Source organism: Homo sapiens, chromosome 1 (assembly GCF_000001405.40).
Source record: "Homo sapiens chromosome 1, GRCh38.p14 Primary Assembly".
Lineage (NCBI taxonomy): Eukaryota > Metazoa > Chordata > Mammalia > Primates > Hominidae > Homo > Homo sapiens.
This window is the reverse complement of record NC_000001.11, coordinates 210,509,115-210,532,214: the sequence shown is the minus strand read 5'-3', so window position 1 is coordinate 210,532,214 and position 23,100 is coordinate 210,509,115. Positions and strand designations below refer to the sequence as shown.

Genomic DNA, 23,100 nt, shown 5'->3' with positions numbered 1-23,100 from the left:
AATGTTCAAAAATCTATTTCCATTTCCAAAATGGATTTCACTGTAATAGACTCAGTATATTAATAAACACATATAAATGTCACTCTATGAAAAACACATTGTCTGCAAATAACCTTTCAATTAGAAACAGATGCTATGGGCTTTCAGCTTCTAAAGTGTTTTTATTTTAAATGGCCTTTTCACAGCTGAAACCAGGCTGCTCTTTCTTTCTAGTCCACATACATTTTGAAGGTCGGACCTTCCCCCTGGGATCACATGTTGCTTGCAAGTACCCAGGAATCATCACCTGTTGGTGTAGAAAATGCTCTTCTATCTGTCTTGTCAAAAAAGATTATCCCACCCTTGCCACTAAGCAAGCCTTTTCACATAGACTTGGTGACAGGAAAAGAAACACTGTTAGTTACAGTTATGTCGATATTTCTTATCAGATTCAAATTCCACAAATATGTACTGAGTGCCTACTAAGTTTTAGACCCTGTGAGAGGCATTTTCATATGGGTTTTCTCTCCTTAGCCTTGAAACAGATGGTATTGTGGACTGATGGACAGATAAGAGATAACAACTTAGGGAACTGTCCTAAGTATTTTACATACATTAGCAAATTTATCATTTCCAACTTACAAATGAAAAAACCGAGGCTCAGACTTAGTATGCAGTAGAGTAGGGATTCAAACCCAGGTGGTTTAATTCCACAACTTACACTTCTAACTGTTAAGCTATTCCACCTCTCTGCAGCCTGTATTGACAAGAGATTCCAGTCCTCTGCCTGGGTTCCTCTTCTTCCTCGTCCTCTTCAACAATGTTAGAGACTATCTGAAACCCACAGTCCCTTTATTTACAGGCCAGAGGTCCACCAGCTTTTCAGGTTTACACAGCACTTTCAAATACAGACTGTTCTATAACACACACTCACACTTTAATTACCATAGTTCATATGTACAGTCATGCATTACATAATGATTCAGTCAACAACAGACTGCATATATGATAGTGGTCTCATAAGATTATAATACTGTATTTTTACTGTACCTCTTCTATGTTTAGATAGATGAGTACCTACATCATATTACAACTGCCTGTAGTATTCAGTACAGTAACACAGTACACAGGTTTGTAGTCTAGGAGCAAGAGGCTCCACCATAAAGCCTATGTGTGCAGTAGGCTATACCATATAGGTATGTGGAAGTACACTCTACGATGTTGCACAATGATGAAATTGCCTAACAATGCATTTCTCAGAATGTATCCTTGTTGTTAATTGATATGACTAATTGGTAAACAGGAAAATAATATCCTTATAAAACAGAAATTGTGACTGTTTATATGCATTTTTTTTTTCTTAGCCTGTCAATACTTTGAGCATCTGAACAGAGAATTCACTAAAAGAATTGACTAGATTATTGTACCAGATACCCATTAATCCTGCCTCTTTTTCCTATTGGCTTAGTTCGGTCAACATGCTGTCTTAGAAGCACATAGGGCCCACCCAGTTCTCCTAGGCTCTTGTGTAAAAGAACAACCCAGAACAAGGATCCAGAGCCATCTATCTCAGACATCACTCAAGTCCGTGCAAAGTCTGCAAATGCTTTTCTCCATCTCTCCCGGCCTTTGTCTCCAGAACACGTTGCTCCGTTAATAACTCCTTATTCAGTACTCCTCATTCCCACAGGCTGCAGGTTATGCCTGATTTCCAAGTCCCTGCCGGTACTGTCACCCATTTTTCTCATTCAGGAAAGGGTATTTGAATGCAAATGAATCTCCTCTAATTAATGCAAATATGCACATTATTGCAAACATTGGTATTAATATTATGATTCATAGCAAATGAGCCCTGACAGCCCCAACCCTTGTTTATACCCCTTTACTCATGTTACCCTCACCTTTTAAGGTAAAGGCTGATATGTATTTACTAGAATATGTATTTCCTAGGAATTCAACATGACATTTCAAATGTGCTAAGATCCTTATTGGGACGGTTACTGTTTTTCTTGGTGCTCTGGACAAAGTTGCATAGGTTTTGAGTCATTTACTCAACTCTATTTTTCCCATAAATCCTATGATTTTTGTGTGCAATTTTACATAACCTGAGCTTTTCCAAGTTTGTATACCCTGCATCATAGCAGAAACATTTGAACTGGCAGCACAACCAAAGGATTAAACTTTATCCAGTTACCTCAAGACTCACGTGGTCCCTCTTCAACACCGAGTCGCTGTGAGAACAGAATGAATTACTGCCTTTACCATGCTTATTTATACAGTCTGATACATAACTTAGTTTTTAGTTGCAAACAACAGACTCTAACTAAGCAGAAAAGGAATTTATTAAAGGACATGTACTCACAGAATACCTGAGTGGGCCAGCAAATCAGGCTGGGAGACCATTGCTCCCTGAGGCCCCTCCAGTTCACTCCGCTTCTGGTGACACCGCTGGCAGCACTGTGGCATGTACAGCAGACGCCTGTGGTGCAGAACCCTGTTTATGCTGCAGGGAAAGCTGCATGTCTCTCTGCCATCCTTGCTGGAAACAGTTCTGTGGGAGGCCCTGTCATTCCCACGATGCTCTTCTGAATCCCAGTTACCCCTTTGATGTCCCTGAGAAGCTGGGCCTGGGATACACTGGGGTAGTAGCTGCAAGGGAGGCCCAGAGAGTGACTTTTTGACTTGTACTTTGAGGAGGCAGAGTACGTAAGGCTAGAAATTCCCTAAAAGCCAGAAGAATGTTCAAAAGGTACCACATAGCTAGAGTAGGGATTAAATTTTACACAAGTCACAATAAACACTGATCTCTCAGTACCACGTTGATATCCCCGCTTCTCATAGCTTGCTTAATTCAGTGTTCTGTCTGATGTACATCAGCTTAACAACAAATATCCCCGTTTTCTTTTTTTTTTTTTTTCCTTTGTTTTTTTTGAGATGAAGTCTCGTTCTGTTGCCCAGGCTGGAGTGCAGTGGCAGAATCTCTGCTCACTGCAACCTCTACCTCCTGGATTCAAGCAATTCTCGTGCCTCAACCTCCCAAGTAGCTGGGATTACAGGCGTGTGCCACCATACCTGGCTAATTTTTGTTTTTTCAGTAGAAATGGGGTTTCACTATCTTGGCTAGGCTGGTCTCGAACTCCTGACCTCAGGTGATCTGCCTGCCTTGGCCTCCCGAAGTGCTGGGATTACCAGCGTGAGCCACCACGCCCAGCCTTAGCCACCACACCCGGCACCCATTTTCTAACAAAATTTGATCTTATATGTTGATCAACATTTGAAACTATCCCCAAGGTTCCAAGGCTGCACTTATCAATGGATGGTATCCCAGGGGGTAATAATTCGTATGAGCACGTGGGGATTTTGACTTGCTGATAAACCAGGACATAGGTGCATCACAGATTTCTACAGACGGCAGGGTATGCCCGATTTCCAGATCCCTGATGGTACTATCACATTTTTCTCTTTCAGGAAAGGGTATCTGAATGCAAACAAATCTACCCTAATTAATATAAAAATGTACATCATTGCAAACATTGGTATTATGATTGGTAACAGATTAGTGATAATATTCCTCACAACAGATCCTTCCACTTTAGCATATTAATTAATAGGCTATACTATGCATTTGCTAGTGAAAGTTTCTCCCTTCAATATGTTAATTACATCATCTGAATGAGAACTTTAGACATGCTAGGATACATTTGTATACATAATTTTTAGCTACTGTTACATTTCCCCAGGAAACTCCTTAGTCATTCATTTCCAGGCTATTGCTTAGCACCTAAAACTGACTTTGATCTTTAAAATGGCATTCAAGGCCTTACATGGCCCAGCCATGGACAATCTACCAGCCTCACTGTGCCCATCACTCTTAGCGCCCGGAACACAAGAACCTTCTTTCTCTTTTTCCTCCTATGATGCACCCTGCTCCTTCTACCACAGGGGTTTGATATGCTTTTCCCTCCACCTTCCACCCCAAAGATCTTGGGAGAACCTTCCCCATGACCAGCCCCTGCACCACCCCTGGGTCTGGTGCATTGTGACACACACTTGTAGGACCATGTGTCTCTCTCTCTCGGCATTACTGGTTGTTATACTTAGGCAGATATGCATATGATCACCTGATGAACACCTCTCTGCTCCTAAAGCATAATAAGCTCCCAGACGGTAGGAATTGCATGTCTTTTTGCTCACTGCTGTGTTCCAAGAACAAGTAGGGTTTCTTGCCCATGGTAGATGCTAAAAATCATCTGATGTACAAATGAATGGGTTCATGCGTTTAGAGTGATTGACTTCACCCATTTGTTTATTTATTTGCTTGACATAACTCAGAGTTTCAAAGTATCTGACTTTTCTCTCAAAGGTGACAATGTCTCCATTTCACAGATGGGGAAACTGAAGCAGTGCTATTAAATATTTGCTAATAAAGTCACATGGCTAGTACACACTAGAGATGGCCTGGGTTTGGCCTATGGCAACTCCACTCATTAGGGCCACCCTGTTGGCGCACCATCCTCTGTCACGTGCTCAAAGGAAATTGCAGTAGAAAGCAAGCCCCACGATTCTGGCCCTCAGGGAGCTTGTGAATCGCCAAACCTTAAGCAAAAGCAGAATCACTCATTTCCCTTATTTATTTATTTTTTTAAAGGTGTTGCCACTCAGTCTGCTAAGATCCCAAAGAATGACAAGATAGCCAGGAAATTTATGATGCTGATAATGGTGATGGCTAACAGCCATTGTATTACTGCTGAGCACTATCCTAAGCACTGTAAGTGTACTATGTTATTTGGTCCTCGAAAACCTCCTGTGAAATAGGTATTACTATTAATCTTCATTTTACAGATAAGGAAAGTGAAGCATGAAGCTGTTAAGCTGGTCACATGGTCAAGAGTAATGCATCCAGCACACAAACCCAGGCAATCAGCCATGGGAGCCTGAGCTGAAAAACCACGAGAGACCACACAGCATGCTGCAAGGGAGCACCTGACGCTTCCAGGGGAGTCTGAGCTGGGTGCTGAGCCAGCCTAGACACATGCACTAAAGGAAAGAAGAGAATGAAGGAGCCTCTTCATTCTTGGAAGGTGGTGATAAGGGTGGGGCTAAAAGTTCCAATCCTCTTATCAAATGGTTGGTTACCCTGGCACCCAGCCCCCATCCTGATGCTATCCAAAAGCCCACCAAGAGTTGTCTCATTAGAACAAAAGATCCTCTGATCACTCAGGAAATTCCGAGGGATTTAAGAACTCTGCATCAGGAACTGGGGTCAAAGATCAAGTATCAGGACAAAATATTATCCTAGTGTCCCCATCTAAGTGTTTTAGGAGCTCTGTGCTGGAAACTGGGAGGCAGAGACCAAATATATATTTCATATTATATCACATCACAGTAGTTTTATGGAATTTCAGTAGTTTAAATTTAAATAGCCATGAGTGATTAATAGCTACTGTATTGGCTGGCACATATCTAGACAACAGAAGCTGCTCTCTAATATTAGAAACAGCAAGGCTGCTTAGCAGAGGCTGTTGAGATTGGAAGAGACCTTAGAGTTTATCTGGTATAATTCTCTCATCTCACAAATAAGAAAACTAAGGCCCAAACAGAAGCGACTCACACAAAACCACTGCAGCAAGAGAGGTACGGCAGTCTAGAGTGTTGGTCTTCTGCATCTGATCCAATGCCTTTTCCATTCCACAGGCTGCTTCTGTTACTGATGCAAAAATAGCTCTAATTTTGTTTAATTCTGGTTTGTGGAACTGACGCAGCTCATAGGCAAAGCTAACTAAAGATCATGCGCTCCCCCTGTTGAGCTAGGTATCTCCAATGTCCATCAGGTAAGTATATTAGTTATCTCAGTGGCAAAAAAAAAAACAGAACCCACTCTGGTTAGTTTATTAAGGAAGGTTAGGCAGTTTGCACAATCTCTGACAGGGCCTGAGAGCCAGGCTCAGAGGTGTTGCAGTCAGGAACTGTTGACAAATTACACCACCACTGCTCCAGTGGGGACTCAACCATGTCTGCCACTGGACTCAGGGAAAGGGGCTCCCCGTCTCCAGTGCTGCGCGTAGGACTCCACCCCAGAACCTCTGCCCCTCCAAGCTCGGTGTCACCACTACCACGCTCACCAGAATGCATTCCAGGTCCCACCTCTTCCCACCTCCCATTTTCTTTGGAATCTAATCTCAGGCACGAGGGATCTGAGACTCTTCCTGCAAGGAAGAAAAAAACATTTATGGCTTCTACCAGATGCAGCAACCGCATAAGGCAGAAAGATCGCGCACGCATTAGGAAAAGAATTCAAAAGAAGGCAGCGACAACACTTAACAAATGGCCTGTCAAGTAAATAACCCATCTGCAGTGGCCTAAGACCATGGATCTCACAGCCCATCTTTCTAAGCAACATCGCTGACTCAGAGCTTTTTACATTTAAAACTATGTCTCTACATTGCAAATATCCTGAGTAAGTCACCAGGGGCTCTTTTTAATTTTTTTTAAAAGATACATTTATTCACAGGAACATCTGTATTGATAAAGCTATATATGGTGGGAACTAAATTATGCATCTCAATTCTCAAGTATTGAGAGTTTCTCTTAGTTTTTTCTTTTTAAATCTGGATTGTCTCATTAATAAATTCAAATATAGCACAGCTAGGAAGACAAATAATTCTAACAAGTTTTTCCTCAAAAGTGGTAACAGCAAGATCAGGGTGAGGAGTGAATCTGAGAAATCTTCTAAAAATGAAATATTAGTGAAATGTGGAACATAATCGTCAAGGCCCTTCCATTCTAACATTCTGTGAACATAAGCAAAGGACTCCAAAGCACCCCAAGTGTTTGCATCTGGAGGATGAGGAATGTTGTCTCGGACATTGACATGACTGTGATGGGGAAAGCCTGGAAGGGGATTTAATTTTTGACAAGAAATGGGAGGACTCACCAACACATTATGTGACAGATTTCACTGGCAGCCCCAGAGAATGAGCCAGCCTTGTGGATTTAGAGGGTCTCTGTGTCCTAAGAGGGGCTGACATCCAAGGGGAATGGGCATCAACGCAAGGGTGCTGAGGGCTAAGAACTAGGCCTTCAGAGACCTCACTAACTAATGGCCAAGCAAGAGAGATGAACCAGTGAAGGAGCCAAAGCCCTGGTTTGCTGAGTGGCCAGAAGACAAGATGGGTACTTGTCACCCTGGGAAAACTGCAAACCTCTATCCCAAGTACATTTCCTAGCCCTGACCCCAACTCCACTCAGCTGCCCATGCTTCTGGAGAGAGCCTACTGCCACAACCCACCCTCACTTAACTGCCTCCAAGTTAATGTTCACATGCATAATTACATATTTTAGAACACACCAGGCAAGCAGAAAGAAATTAAGAGGTATTTTAGGTCTATTGTTGCTCAACACAGAGAAGCTTTTACAACAGCTGTCTGTTTGAGAAACCCCCGAGTAGCAGGACAGACCTGGACCTGCAGGCTCCAGTTCATGGTGCAGAAGCACAGTCATGGTTGAGGTTCAAAAATCCCAATTTCTCTAGATTCCCACCTAAGTCTGTCAGAGTGACTTTTGAAAATGTAAATCAGATCCTGTCACTCCCCTACTTAAAACCCTTCAAGTGCTCCTATCACATTCAAAATGGAGCCCAATCTTCATCACAGTCTGGCTGTTCCCTCTTCCTCCAGCCTCAGGGAGGGACTCCTTGCTCCTCTACTGGCCAGCCCCAGGCTCCCCTTCTGTTCCTCAAGCATGTTCCTTTGCAACTCAGGGGCGGGGGCTTGCACTTCCCTCTGGCTTGAACAGTCCAGCCCTCGCCCTTTCCCTGGTGACTCCTTCCTCCTCACTCATCTCTGTGTTGCCCGCTGCCTTAAAAAGGGCCTTCCTGCCCAGCCCTTCAAACACGGCACTCACACCTGCACCCTCCATCACATCAAGGGAATGACAGTGCTTGCTTACTTGGGTTCTTTTTGTTCTTCCATTTAAAAAAATTTTATTGTAGAAACACTTAATGTGAGATCTAACCTGTTAACAGGTTTTTAAGTACACCATACAGTACTGATAACTACAGGCACACGCTGTACAGTGGATCTCCAGAGCTTATGCATCTTGCCTACCTGAAACTTTATACCCGATTAACAACTCTCCCTTCCCCCACCCCCTGGCAACCATCATTCCATTTTTGTTTTTGCTTCCATGAGTTTATTTTAGATACCTCATAAAAGTGGATTCATGCAGTTCTCGTTCTTCTGTGAGCATCTGATTTCATTTAGCTAATGTCCTCCATGCTCACGCATGTCATCACACACTGCTTACTTGTTTTCTCATTTACTCACTGGGATGTGAGCTAAGAGAGGGCAGGAACATTGTCTATCTTGTTACTGCTTTGATCCTGGCACCTAGAATAGTACTTAGGGCACTTAATTTGGTATAAAAATAAATGGGTTAAATGAAAAGAAAATTAGACGGTTACTAAGTCCTTTTACATTTTTGAAAATAAAGTTTATCTAAACATGTTTAGGAGCCCTCTAGACATTAGACGTTGTGGGGTACTACGCAGAAGATCCAGATGAGTCAGACCCTGCTCACTACCTGGGAGGGGGCTGCAACACACATGCGCACGTGTGCGCGCGCACACACACACACAAGCTATATTTAAAGCAGGGGTCCCAAAGTCCCCTGAGCATCAGAGTCACTGGGAGTGATTCACAATTATACTGATTCCTGGACTCTACCCAAATCCACTTAGCCCAATCCCCAGAAGTAGAGCTTGGGGATCTAAAGCATCCAGGAAGATTCCCAGGATCCAGGAGGCTTGGGAGGCAGTGTTATCGAGGTAGAGAGAGGAAGGCTGCACAGAGAAGGCAGCATCTGAGATGGACTGAGATGGGTGGGATTTGGATATGCACTAATGGGAGAAGCTCAGGCACTTCTGGTATAGGGAACAAAGATGCTAGGAGATGGTGAGGTAGGGGCAAAAAACAGCATTTGGTCCCAAGTGGCAGTGGCACAAGGGGAATAATGGTGAGATGAGATGGAAAGGTAGCCTGAAGACCCACTGTGGTGGGCCCAGGACACGGGGTTGTATAAAGTCTGGTTCTGAGGAGGGAGGGGAAGCATCAGGGCTGGGTTTCTGTGAGACTGATGGATGGCCATAAGCAAAGTCAAAGAAAAGCCATGAAAGGTGAGGGGACTGGGAAGAGGCTCGGACAACCTGGTCGGAAAGAAAATGACGACCAGAGTAATAACTAACATCTGCATGGAGTGTTATGGCCCCTAAAACACTTTTGACACACTTCATCCCATTCAAGCCTGGCAAGCAATTTCTTGAGCCAGAAATTGTGATTTCCAATTTACAGATAAGTAGTCAAGGTCTTAGAAAGGTTTCATGAGTTATCTAAAGTTATGGGTAGAAAGAGAGCGTGCCAGGATTCGAATCCTGTTACTCTGATTCCAGAGGTATAGTGGGATTGGGGGGTGGGGGGCAAGGAGATAAAACTAGCCTTGAGTTTCCATCATTTCCAGGCACAGGGCTGAGTGATTAGCATATACTATTAAACTTCATCACAGCTCTGTGAGATAAGAAGCCCAGTTCACAGACAACGGTGCGTCTTATTCTTTTCCTCCAGAAACAGAAAGGAAGGGGTGGATGTGAGAGATGTTAAGAAGACAAAGCCAGTGCAATTTGGAAAATGACTGGGTGCAGGAGCAACGATGGAAGGGGGGACCCAGCCCCATGGGAGCCAGTGGACTTCTCTCCAGCACCCTGCCTGAATTTTCATTAATTGCCTCTTTGGGGCCTATTTTGGTTACCCGGGTCTCTTCACTTACATGTTCTTCACTTTTTATTTAAAACACTTTAGTACAAGAACACCACACAGATCCTTAGCTTCTTTCTGGTGGAATCAAAGAAAAGTTTAAAAGAAACTGATACTGCAGTCACTTCAAAGGAGATGAGTTTTCATCAGGCAGGGATAAAAGATACCTGGGGACTCCTCCCAGGTGTCATTTCTCACCTCTGGATGCCACTAAAAGATGATCGACAATGCCTAATTAGGGCCACAAAGACACACACTTTAGACTCACCTCAGGTGGAAGCAGTGTTTTAATAAGGTCATTCACTTTTTATATCACTATTAAAAACTGTTTAAACAGAAATCAACCTTTATGTTACACTTACAAAATACAAAGTTTAAAATCCTACATAACAAAGCAAGTATTTTTGCCTCTGAGTTATCACCTCTGTGTTTAAAAATACATCCATAATGGCTTCATCTTTCTTTCCTGGTGGACAGAGAACATGCATGTGTTTTAGCTGGTTCTAAACTGCAAGACTGAATACAGATGCTAATTAACTTCCCATTACCATCTGGGTCTTACTTCCAGGATCAAATGTGCACCTCTCTCCTTAACTTCTGTTTCCAGTGCAGCTCAGAGCCCAAAAAGGTCTAAACGGTCCTAAGGGGACACCAAAAAAAGAGTGGCTCATCTCCAGCTCTCTTCCTTCTCAGAGGGAGTGGGTAAGCCTCAATTAATCCTTCATTTGACCACCTTGCTTCTTAAAGAGGCAAGGCAGATTTTTTGAACATTTCAGACACCACACCATCCAAGAAACACTTCAAATGATGGTGAGCAGACTTCTTCATCAATACCAGGAATGTTACAATTAACTACAGCAAATGTGGTGATAGACTTGTGGTATCCAATATAAAGAAAGCTAAAAATTACCCTGTCATTCACAAAACTCAAAATGCCAATGATTTTTAGCCCAAATAATAATTCTGTTCTGCTGTAGGGCTAATTTTACGAAAGGGTCAGGTATAGGGTATCAACAAGGAAAACCCAAAAGCAGGTAATATCATTTATAATCATTTCAGAATTCAGCAAGCCACCAACTCCCATACTGCAGAAATTTGCTGCCCTTCTGGCCATTCAAAGATATTTGAGACTTCATGGAAAACCTGCACCAACCTCCAGGAGAATAAAAGACACTACAAGCAGTGAACAGCTGTCATGTTCTACCTTCTCTCTCATCAGAACAAAATCATGCTTCAAAAGGGCACACACTATTTCATATAAATGTTGGCATTTGTATGAACTGAATATGTGCTATATTGAACACCATTCTAATATGCAAAATCTATTTGTGGAAAAAAATTATCTTCTAAGGACTATATTAAGGACTACATTAAGATCTCCAGAGATCTTCTCAAATAGCTTCAGGGCCATGCCAGAGGTTCACTGCCTTGTTCTATTTGCCTAAGAAGTATCAGTGGAATGATTTCCATACTTTGCATTTCCACTAGTCCTGAGAGGATATCAAGACATTCTCCTTAGGACAAAAGTAGTGGCTCTGATGAACTCACACATGGTCTCTGGAGTAAATACGAAAAGTGACGATAAAGAAAATTTATCTTGCTATTTTTTTAAAAGCTAGATTCTTATTCAAAATATGTATTTGAAATTAATTGAAGAGATACATATAAATAATATAGAAAACAAAATTCAGGTGAATACTTTTCTGATTTTAAATCTGTAACCTAAAGAGCAATAAAAATTATAAATTGACAAATTTAATGTTTCAGAGACAATGGGAGGAGGATGGTATCAGGTACTCCTTTAAAAGTCATATGCCCAAAGTTAAGTTGTTATCAGCTTTAAAAATTCTATTATAACTACAGCACTCTTTGTTAGTCCCATAGTAACCACAAAGAAATTACAGCAGATACACAAATGAGAAAGATAAAAAACAAACAAAGCTTGGCAACACAGAAAACCACCAAACCAGAGCGAAAAAAAGTGAGAGGAAAAAAGGAAAAAAAATCTACAAAACCACTGAAAAACAATTAACAAAATGGCAGGAGTAAGTCCTTACTTATCAATAGTAATCCTGAATGTAAATGGATTAAATTCCCCAATTAAAAGACAGAATGGGTCAGGCGCAGTGGCTCATGCCTATAATCCCAGCACTTTGGGAGGCTGAGGTGGGTGGATCACGAGGTCAGGAGTTCGAGACCAGCCTGGCCAACACAGTGAAACCCTGTCTCTACTAAAAATACAAAAAATTAGCAGGGCATGGTGGTGGGTGCCTGTAATCCCAGCTACTCAGGAGGCTGAGGCAGGAGAATCACTTGAATCCAGGAGGCAGAGGTTACAGTGAGCTGAGATCACGCCATTGCACTCCAGTCTGGGTGATAGAGTGAGACTCCGTCTCAAAAAAACAAAAAAACAAAGGGTTTTAAAATGAGCTGAAGACTTTAATAGACATTTCTCAAAGGAAGATATACAAATGGCCAACAGGTATATGAAAAGATACTCAACATCACCCATCATCATGGAAATGCAAATCAAAACCACAATGAGATACCACCCCACCCCAGTTGGAATAGCTATTACCAAAAAGACAAAAAAAAAAAAAAAAGCCAAGTGTGGTGGCTCACACCTTTAACCCCATCACTTTGGGAGGCCAAGGCAGGAGAATCGCTTGAGCTCAGGAGTTCAAAAGCAGCCTGGACAACACAGTAGGACCTTGTCTCTACCAAAAAACAAAAAAAATTGCTGGGCATGGTGGTATATGCCTGTAGCCCCAGCTACCTGGAGGCTAAGGTAGGCGGATTGCTTGAGTCCAGGAGGTTGAGGCTGCAGTGAGCCATGATCACGCCACTGCACTCCAGCCTGGGTGACAGAGGGAGACCCTGCCTCAAAAAAAAAAAAAAAAAAGCAAAGAAAATTGTTGGCAAGGATGTGCAGATAAAGGAACTCTTTACATTGCACACTGTTGGTGACAATGTAAATTAGTACAGCCACTTTGGAAAACAGTTTGGAGGTTCCTCAAAAAATTAAGAACCAAACTACTGTATGATCCTGCAATCCCACTACTGGGTATATGTCCAGAGGAAAGAACATCAGTATATTGAAGAAATATCTGCACTCCCATGTTTACTGCAGCACTATTGACAATAGCCAAGAGATGGAATCAACTCAAGTGTCCAACAACAGATGCACAGATAGAGAAAATGTGGCATATACACACTGTGAAAGTTAATTATACAAATTGGGTCACTCTTGTCATACCCAACTAAATCAGAGTTGAGGGGCCAAGGAAGAAAAGCACTAGGGACACATAGCACCTGTTCCAAGAGTTAAATGTTCCACAAGCTCAGGTGCTAAAACAGACTGCTGTAACCCTAAGACCAGTTTTACCTAGTAGCTGCTGAAATGACCTCCCAAGACTCTAACACTGGTTTTATTTACCATCATCAGTCACCAATCAGAGCTTACCATCTCTCAAAAGCCTCTCTAGTGCCAATGAGCTTTCTTTCAAAACAATACATAACATTTCTCTTTCTAATAAAACTCCCAACTTTCTATTTGTTCTCTGGACATACGGAAGACCACCTGGTCTGTATGTATGCCCTGAATTGAAACTTCTTGCTTCCCAAATGTTTGTTTTTGAGACGGTGTCTTGCTCTGTCACCCAGGGCTGGAGTGCAGTAGTATGATCTCAGCTCACTGCAACCTCCGCCTCCCAGGTTCAAAAGATTCTCATGCCTCAGCCTCCCAAGTAGCTAGGATTATAGGCGTGCACTACCATACCCGGCTAATATTTGTATTTTCAGTAGAGATGGGATTTTGCCATGTTGGCCAGGCTGGTCTCAAACTCCTGGCCTCAAGTGATCTACCCGATTCAGCCTCCCAAAGTGCTGGGATTACAGGTGCGAGCCACCGTGCCTGGGGCCAAATAAAATGTTTTAAATTTAGAGATTCATCTCTATATTTTATTTGATTTTGGCAACTCAATGGAATACTATGCAGCCATAAAAAAGAATGAAATCCTGTTATTTGTGACAACGTGGATTGATCTGGAGGACGTCATGTTAACTGAGAAGATCCAGACAAACTAAGACAAATACCACATGATCTCACTGATATGTGGAAGCTTAAAAAAATTCATAACACAGTAACAGAGAATAAAACAGTGGTTACCATAGAGGGGGTAGAGAGGGGAGGATAGGGAGAGGCTGGCAAAGGGGTACAAAGTTTCAATTAGATAGGAAGAGTAAGTTCTGGTGTCCGATTGCACAGTAGAGTGACAATGGTTAACAGTAAGGTATTGTATATTACCAAATAGTTAGAAGAGAGGCTTTTGGATGTTCTCACCACAAATAATAAATGTATGAGATGACCAATATGCTAACTAACCTGATTTGATCATTATACAACATAGATACATCAAAACGTCAAATTGTACCCCATAAATATAAATACAGTGTGTCAATTTTTTTTAAAGTCATGATGTTATCCTGCTCATGATGTTATCCTGCTGAAAACTACTGCCCCACCTGAGGAGGTCAGATAGGAGCAGTCAGAGGTGGGGGAGGCAACAAAACAAGTATCATTCATCGTTTTTAAAATATTATTTTTTAACTGACAAAAATTGTATATATTTATGGTGTACAACATGTTTTGAAATACTTTTACATTGTGAAATGGTTAAATCAAGCTAATTAACACATGCATTTCTTCCTATATTTATCTTTTTTGTGGTGAGAAAGCCTAAAATCTCCTGTCTTAGCAATTTTCAAGAAAACATCATTATTAGCTATTGTCACCCTATGATACAATAGAGCTCTTGAACTTCCTTCTCCTCTCTAACTGAAATTGTGTATTCCTTGACATTTCTTCAGTCCCTACTCCCAGACCTTGGTAGCTACCATTCTACTGTTTCCATGAGTTCAATTTTTTTAAATTCCACATATAAGTGAGACCACATGTACACCTTTGTCTTAAAAGAGACAGTGCTGGCTACAATTCTGAGTAAGATGAAAAGTGCTGGCCAGGTGCAGTAGCTCACACCTGTAATCCCAGCACTGCGGGAGGATCGCTTGAGCTCATGAGTTCAAGACCAGTCTGGGAAACATGGCAAAACCCCATATCTATTCAAAGATAAAAGAAGAAAGAAAAATAAAAGAAAAATGCCTCAGTCAGCAAGAATCAAACCAAAATCACTTACTTTCTTGCCAAAGCTAAACTAAGCTAAATTTAAACAAGCCACCCTGTTATCTATAATGAAACAGAGATTTTTATTCTGTAATCTCTTTCCCCAGGTTGGTCACCTTTTCTTGTGCGGTGTCACATTTAAGAACTCCAGCCAGTAGGCTTCTTCTGAGGCCATCCCTAGGTGAGTTGTGATTGCTGCTTCTGTCTATGATTTCTATAAGATGCAGGACTGGGCTCACTGAATTTTCCCACAGTCATCACAAAACACTAATATCAACAGTGCCCACATTTCATTAAATGTGACAGCTCTTTCCTGCCCCCATGGCTCAGTGGAGCACTCCAAGGCTTAAAAGGAAGCATGTCCCTCCTTGCAAATGCCTAGTCTGAGATCAAAGATAGGGCTCTTGGCTTTGTGGAAATTTACGTCATTCCAGAGAAGTCGACATGACTTCCATCAATTTAAAAGATGCAGCTGATTAATTTCAGGGCATGCTGCAGCTTTTTTTTTTTATGCCAAACACTAAGCATTCAATACAGCCTGACAAACCAAACTGCACATTAAGAGCTTGTTGGAGCTAATAAATGTAGTTAATCTTGAGGGGGTGTGGGGAACGTATGACAATTTCTCCCACATTTGCTCTTTTACAAAGGGAAGTATATTTTCTTCTCTTGTCCATTATAGAGTGAGAAGGATTCCTTAAGTACCATCCCTCTCACTCTTCCAACCCTCTAAGGTTTTCTCTAATGACATATTTACAAGAAAATGCCATTGCTGTCTGAGGTTACTAAGGGACCACTCACTCCCCCTAGGAATCAGGCTCTACTTCTCTCCACCTAAATGAAACTGCTTTCTCTAAGTCTAAAGGACACTTAAGACCTTCTGGTGGCTAAATACAAGAGTTCATCCCATTAAAAAGAAAAAAATATCCACTCCACCCGCCCTCTCCACCAGCTGCCCTGTCTTTCTTTCTTCCCCTTCACAGCTTATCTTCTTAAAGGAGCTGCTGCTGCCATTCCCTCACTGCTAACCCCACCGTCTTCAACCTAGCCTCAGGGTCACTGTCCCAGTGAAACAGTTCTTACTAAGGTGTCCAGTCATAAATGGTGCTGGGTCCCATCAGGTTTGACTTCCCTCCCAAGCTGGGGGCAGAAAATACCTTTTTTTTTCTTTTTCTTTTGAGACAGAGTCTTACTCTGTCACCCAGGCTGGAGTATAGTGGCCCCATCTCGGCTCACTGCAGCTTTGGCCTTCTGGGTTCAAGTGATCCTCATGCCTCATCCACCCAAGTAGCTGTGATTACAGGTGTGTGTCACCACGCCTGGCTAATTTTTGTATTTTTAGTAGAGGCACTATTTTTTTTCATATTGCCCAGGCTGGCCTTGAATTCCTGGCTTCAAGTGATCTGCCTGCCTTGGCCTCCCAAAGTGCTGGGATTACAGGCATGAGCCACTGCACCTGGCTGAAAATACTTTTTTTTTTTTTTTTTTTTGAGACGGAGTCTCGCTGTATCGCCCAGGCTGGAGTGCAGTGGCGCAATCTCAGCTCACTGCAAGCTCTGCCTCCCAGGTTCATGCCATTCTCCTGCCTCAGCCTCCCGAGTAGCTGGGACTACAGGAGCCCGCCACCATGCCCGGCTAATTTTTTTGTATTTTTAGTAGAGACAGGGTTTCACCGTGTTAGCCAGGATGGTCTCGATCTCCTGACCTCATGATCCACCTGCCTCAGCCTCCCAAAGTGCTGGGATTACAGGCGTGAGCCACCGTGCCTGGCCTGAAAATACTCACTTTCTGAAGAGAGCTACAAATAAAGAGGTGAGATCCACCCCATTCTGGGATTACTGTGAGATGGAGAACTGACTCTGCTCCCAGCCACCATCTTTAACACCCCTACCCCTTACTCCCAAGCTGGGAAGAGGAAAGATGAAGGGACTCCTTGGAGTCATTAAGTTGTTTGCTTGTTGGGGCGCACTGTCATGTGATGGGAGAGGAAGAGATCTACTCCCAGAGGCTAGGGATGCCTGCAAAACTGACTTCTCATTCCCCAGTTGGATAAGCAATAAACCTGCTGATTTACTCTGCCCCCTACCTGAATGAGGGAAAGGAAACACAGAATACAGCACAGCAAGGTAGAGAGAAGCCTTACCCTCCCAGTTCTGCTTGCTTCACAGAACACTGGTTAAGGTGACCAGTTAGAGCATCTTCCAGCACCTGCCCAAAAGGGCCTCCTGCCAGAGCAAGGGGATACCAGTCTCAGTCACATTAGAGACACTTGACCACTGCCTCTCCTTCCTCCAGACCCAACATAGGAGGAATGGTTGGAGCCCAGAAGGAAAGAGAAGAGGGATCGCAAAGGCAGACCACTGCTCTCTCTAACTACAGGCCTGGCAAGGGATAAACACATGGAAAGCTTCAAATCAAATGTCTGTTTTTGCAAGTGACAGCATTCCCAGACATATCCAAGTAAGTGGACATGGTAGGCTTAAGTTATTTGCTGAATAAATGACTGTACAGCTTTTTCTCAACCTGCCTCACCCCCCTTGTCCTTTCTGTCTCATCTCATTCATTCCCTCCTAGCCCTAATGTTTGTTGAAGGTTGATCCTATACAAGTTTCTGAATCTAATCATTGATAGGTGACTAAGACATGATCGCTGACCTCAATAAATTTACTAGAAAAAATAAGAAGAGTACAAACTTGCATCCACTACAAGGCATTAAGGGAACAGTACAATGGGAGTTGTACAAAGCACCAAAGACATTAAATAAAAAACTCGAACTACTCCCTGAAGTATTAATACATCCAGACAGATTCTTCTGATCAGTTCAAATATGGAATGTTCATGCCTGCTTTCCCATGACTGCTGGTTCTTTGTCCCTCCTGCTAAAATGTATTTATCCTTGCTGTGTCGAAGATAGCAGTTCACACACTACTATCTGTGTCTGGATCCTGGAGAAAGCCAGGACCATCCTTATTCCTTGAGTATGGGGGAGGCCGAGGAGATTTCATTGTGCAGACTTGGATGAGCCTTGGAAAAGAGGTCAAAGAGGACAAGGTATGCATGGCCTCACTCGGAACATCACCATATCCAGTGTGGAGGAAATGTGGTTTTTGGTGGGGATAAAGGTGATGTCAATTATGTACACTTCCTCTCAAAGAGCATCTTACCAATAGGGAGATGGCCATGCATTGTACAGAAAAGAACCACCATAACACTTACCCAAAAATCACATGGAGTCTACAGACTGTTCATTATCAGGCTATTAGTCAGAATTAACTAGCATTTAGAGATGCATACCTGCAGAAAGCAAATCGCTCTACATAATTTCTGGTTTCCTTGTCATCTTTAGCTTGCAGTCTTTCGGCAACCATTTCTGCTTCCCTCAATATTTCTGACAAGCATTTTAACGATCATTATTTACCAGTATTAGAGTAATACATGCTCAATATTAATACATTTAGAAAACACAGCAAAGTTGATAGCAGACAAAATATGCATATTCTTAAAACTATGATTAATATGCTGGTCTATTTCCATTTAACCTCTGTTACATTTAACAGCTATTTGAAATTAATATGTCCCATAAGCCAACTCTGGTAAAAATCATTAATAAACTAGGATATAAACTGCCATCTGTAATCTCTTTCAATTATGAACAAGGTTGTATCTTCACAACTATAAAGCAACTGGAAGATTCCACTTAAAAAGATTAAATTCAGTGGAGGGAAAATTGGTTAAGGGGGTTGTTTAACGTCTGAATACAAGCTGGCACTCCTAATTTTTCAATTAGTTTTCCCAGCAGCCTAGTAGTTGGAATTATACTTGTCAAGATCTTAGGTAACTATCACTTCAGAAATAAGCCTCTTTAAACATTGATTTCTTTAATTGTTTAATCGTGTGATTCTGGGAAACAGAAAAAACCATAGTGTTAGCAATGTTTTCTTGACAAGTATATATATAAGTGCCATTATTTATCAAGATACTTAACAAAGATTTTCCATTTCAATCTTTCATAATAGACATGTTATTCAATGTTATCTAAAATAAAAATTATTGGCTTACCTGATTAAGAAATTATGCAGTCCAACATCAAAATACCTGTTCAAAAGAGACATAGACAAGCATATCAATAAAAGATATTTATAGTAATGGTAGACTAGACAACTATATTTATAATTTAAATTCATAGTATGACTAAATGGATTGCTCTACCACAGTAGTTCTCAAGATGTGGCTGCTGGAGCAGCAGCATTCCTGGGAACTTGTTGGAATCGCAGCTTCTCAGGCCCCACCTCAGACATACCAATTCCAAAATTCTGGGGAAGGAGCCCGGCAATTAAACTTAACAAGCTCTCCAGGAGATTCTGGTGCAGAAACACTGCTCTCTAGTAGCGTAAGTGTCTCAGCAAGTGTAAGCTCTCTCTAGAAATATAGGCCATGAGAGGAGATCTCCCAGGTACCTTCCACTTTTCCAATATATGAGTCCGTTTGTAATATTCGTGTCTCAGATGTTCACTTAAAATATATATATGTATATACACACACACACATATATATGGGTTTTTTTTTTTTTTTTTTTTGAGACAAGGTCTTCCTTTGTCACCCAGGCTGAAGTGCAGCGGTGCGATCACATTTACTGCAGCCTCAACCCCCTGGGTTAAACCAATCCTCCCACCTCAGCCCCCAGAGTAGCTGTGACTACAGGTGTGCATCACCACGCCTGGCTAATATTTAATTTTTTTAGTAGAGACATAGTCTATATTACCCAGGGTTGTCTCAAACTCATGGGCTCAAGCAATCCTCCCACCTCAGCCTCCCAAAGTGCTGGGATTACAGGTGTGAGCCACCGCACTCAGCCCGAAATATGTTTCAAAAGCCCAACACCACACTAGCCAAAGGGAAGCAGGTGAGGGGGGGTGGGGCAGGGAGAGGCTGGTGTGGCAGTGAGTGGAGGGTCAACCTTGGCCTTCCAAGCCCCACCTAGTTGTAGTCCTGGAGCTTTCCACCTGAGAGAACAACCCTGTCCCATCTCTGGGTCTGCCCTGAGCAGGGGATTTGAAGAGCTGCAACTCCATGCGCTAGCTGGGGAGCCTGACTTTGTGCTTGAGGCTCACACCAGGCATCCCATAGCGCTGGGCTATGGCAGACCCTTTAAGTCACAGCCTTTTCCTGACACCACGAAACTGGTACAGTCCATATAAACGACACTGCCTTGGTTTCTCTAACTAGCATGCTTGTTCCTCCTGAACCTCTGATCATGTAGCCAGTGCCCTTCTCTCCCTTTGGGTCGGACTGTGAGTAAGAAGACCAGGTGGCCAGTGAAGTCTCACTTAGTCAGGAGGCTGAAGCAGGAGAATGGCGTGAACCCAGGAGGCGGAGCTTTCAGTGAGCCGAGATCACACCACTGCACTCCAGCCTGGGCGACAGAGTGAGACTCCATCTCAAAAAAAAAAAAAAAAAAAAAAAAAAAGACCAGGCGGCCAGAATCATGATGATATAGTCCCCCAGGCAGAATCACTGCTCCCAACACCTAACGGGTGGTGGTTGCATCCCACCCACCAGTCTCGCCTCTTGGGTTGGCCATCTGACTGAGTAGGGCCTGAGTTAATTCTGTCCCTTTCAGACAAGAGGTAATGGACACAGGAATTCACCCTCGAGGGGGGGTCTGACGCCTGTCCAGACCCTGCCTGTCCCTAGCTTCCGGCGACACCCTTGACTCATCCCTGGAACATCCCATCATGCCTGGTACCTCGCCACCTGACATATGACAGGTGATTACTGACACTAAGATTCCCTGTGGGACACCTTTAAATGACAAGATTATTTTATGTGCTTAAGTATCTCTTTACAGACAATGGACACAGCATAGGTGAGAATAAAGAAACTCAAAGCCAAAACATGACAGACCTCATTTACTACATCACTGACCTAAAATAATTACATAATTCAGGAAAAACGGGATTCGAGATATATAAATTCCACTTATTCATAAGTCTTCTGCACAGAGCTCTTCTCTAAGGAGAGATCTACCTGTAGGGAGAGCTGATGTGTTTCATTTGATTTTACATTGACCTGGATAAGATGCTAAGTTCTTCCTAAAATTATATTTAACACAAATTTTTTAAAAATAGAAATGATCTCTTCTCTCAACCAAAACCAAGGCTACTTTGTTCAGCCCCATAAATAAATATCCACACCACAGACAGCAATTTTAAGGTTGCCAGATCTATAATATGGGAGGTAGAAGTATGTGTAGATTAAAACAAAGATTTCAGCTTCCTTCACTCATCCAAAGCTTGTAGAGCCTTTTCAATTACATTAGCGACAGAGACCAACAGACTCTATTCCGGGAATCACAGGACAAAGCAGACATGGAAGAAATCACAGAGATCCGCAGTATATAGTGGGGTCAGAGGAAGGCACTGAAACAGTAATGAAAAACCTAATAATGAGAAATTATATTTATTGTTTAGAATGTGGCAAGTACTATGTTTTGTGCTCACATATACATGCTGGTGAGGCAGGTACTGGTATGCCCAGAGCTGACAGCCAGTAGAAAAAAAGCTGGAAATCAAACTGAACCCTAAAATGCACGAATTACTTGCTCTTCCCAAGCACCCTGCTAAAAGCAGGGTTCTCACTGCCTTTCATTATTACTAATTGAAAATGATGGTTCATGTTAAAAGCTGATGTCTTCCCACTTCCACCTCATTTCTGCTTCTCCCAGCATGGCTGCCCTGCTCCAGGGAAGCCCACCTGCTTCTCCCCAGGTGCCGCCCACCTCCTCCGTCTCAGCTAGCCAGGCTCTGGAAAGTGATGGAAGTTCACGTAAGCAGAGTCATACAGTATTTGTGCTTTTGTGTCTGGATGGCTATCAGTTTTTAAAAAATAAGGTTCATCCAACTCATGCCAACACCATCATTCTCATTCAACCTAGCCATGGCCTCCGGGGGTGATGTGGTAGTCAATTCATTTCTTTCCATTTCCAGGTGCCCTTCCTCATAGAAATGGTGGCCAGCCAAACCAATTCCCTCTCCCATCTCCTCCTCTACTTGTAACATGAGACCTAGCTAAGGACACTAAGCTTTAGCACACCACCTACTGAAAATTTAAAAACTAAATATATTCAAAACCATTTCTGCATTATAAAATATAACAATCTCTGAAAGGCAAAATATGTCTTTCTTATTCAACTAATAGCCAGGAAATTATCCATTCTTACAGCCCTGAAAGATTTCCTTTGCAAAGCACATCTTAGGGCTTTGAAAATACTTCCCAATGACAATTCTGTATAGACACCCAATGCATGAAAGGATGAATGTATCTGAGAACTAATTCTAACTCCAGAGGTGGGACAAAGAGCAGGTTTTTTAAAAATCACCTGTAAATATAAGAGCCTTTGCAATGACTACAAGATATGAGTAGAATATACACAAGCTTTAATTTAATGCTGCCTCTCACTTTCCTTGGATCATGTGAGAAAGGCAGGCGAGGTTAGTGGAGAGTAAAGGGTTATAGTTTCTCACCATGCAGGCACAGTGCAGCACACACAGAGTGGAGAAGGGGGGATGTTAATAGTAAAAGCCAACACACACACACAGTGCTTAGCATGTGCCAGGCACTCATCCATTCTACACACATACAATTATTTTTGCAATAACCCTATGAGGTAGATAGATACTATTATCATCTGCACCACAGAGGAAGAAACAGAAGCATAGAGAGGTTAAGTGATTGTTAGTTAGGGGTAAAACTAACACCTGAGCCCAGACAGTCTCCATTAGCCAGAAGACCCCCCAGGGAACAGTACCTTGGTTTTGAGGAATAAATGGTAGGAATGCACCAACCTTAACTTCCTGAGTTTTGTTATTAGAGGGCTGAGTATCCCAAATCCAAAAATCTGAAATCTGAAATGCTCCAAAATCTAAAACTTTTTGAGCACCAATGAGACACTCATAAAAATGCTCATGAGAGCACCTTCAGATTTTGGATTTTTAAATTTGAGATGCTCAACTAGTATAATTGCAAATATTCCAAAATCTGTAAAGCTCGAAATCCAAAACACTGATTTCTGGTCCCCAGCATTTCAAGTAAGGGATATTCAATCTGCATATTGCAGTTATTCAGTTGGTGCAA

General features: G+C 42.3%; 1 protein-coding gene across 18 annotated transcripts in view; it reads right to left on the bottom strand.

The window, feature by feature from the left end:
• HHAT (hedgehog acyltransferase) overlaps window positions 1–23,100 on the bottom strand; it is a 348,963-nt gene that overhangs the window by 144,076 nt on the left and 181,787 nt on the right. For all 18 annotated transcript variants that reach the window (XM_047424804.1, NM_001122834.4, NM_001170564.3 and 15 more), the window contains one exon: window positions 19,027–19,062. In XM_047424804.1, coding sequence (XP_047280760.1) covers window positions 19,027–19,062 — 36 coding nt within the window. The remainder of the gene's footprint in view (window positions 1–19,026; window positions 19,063–23,100) is intronic.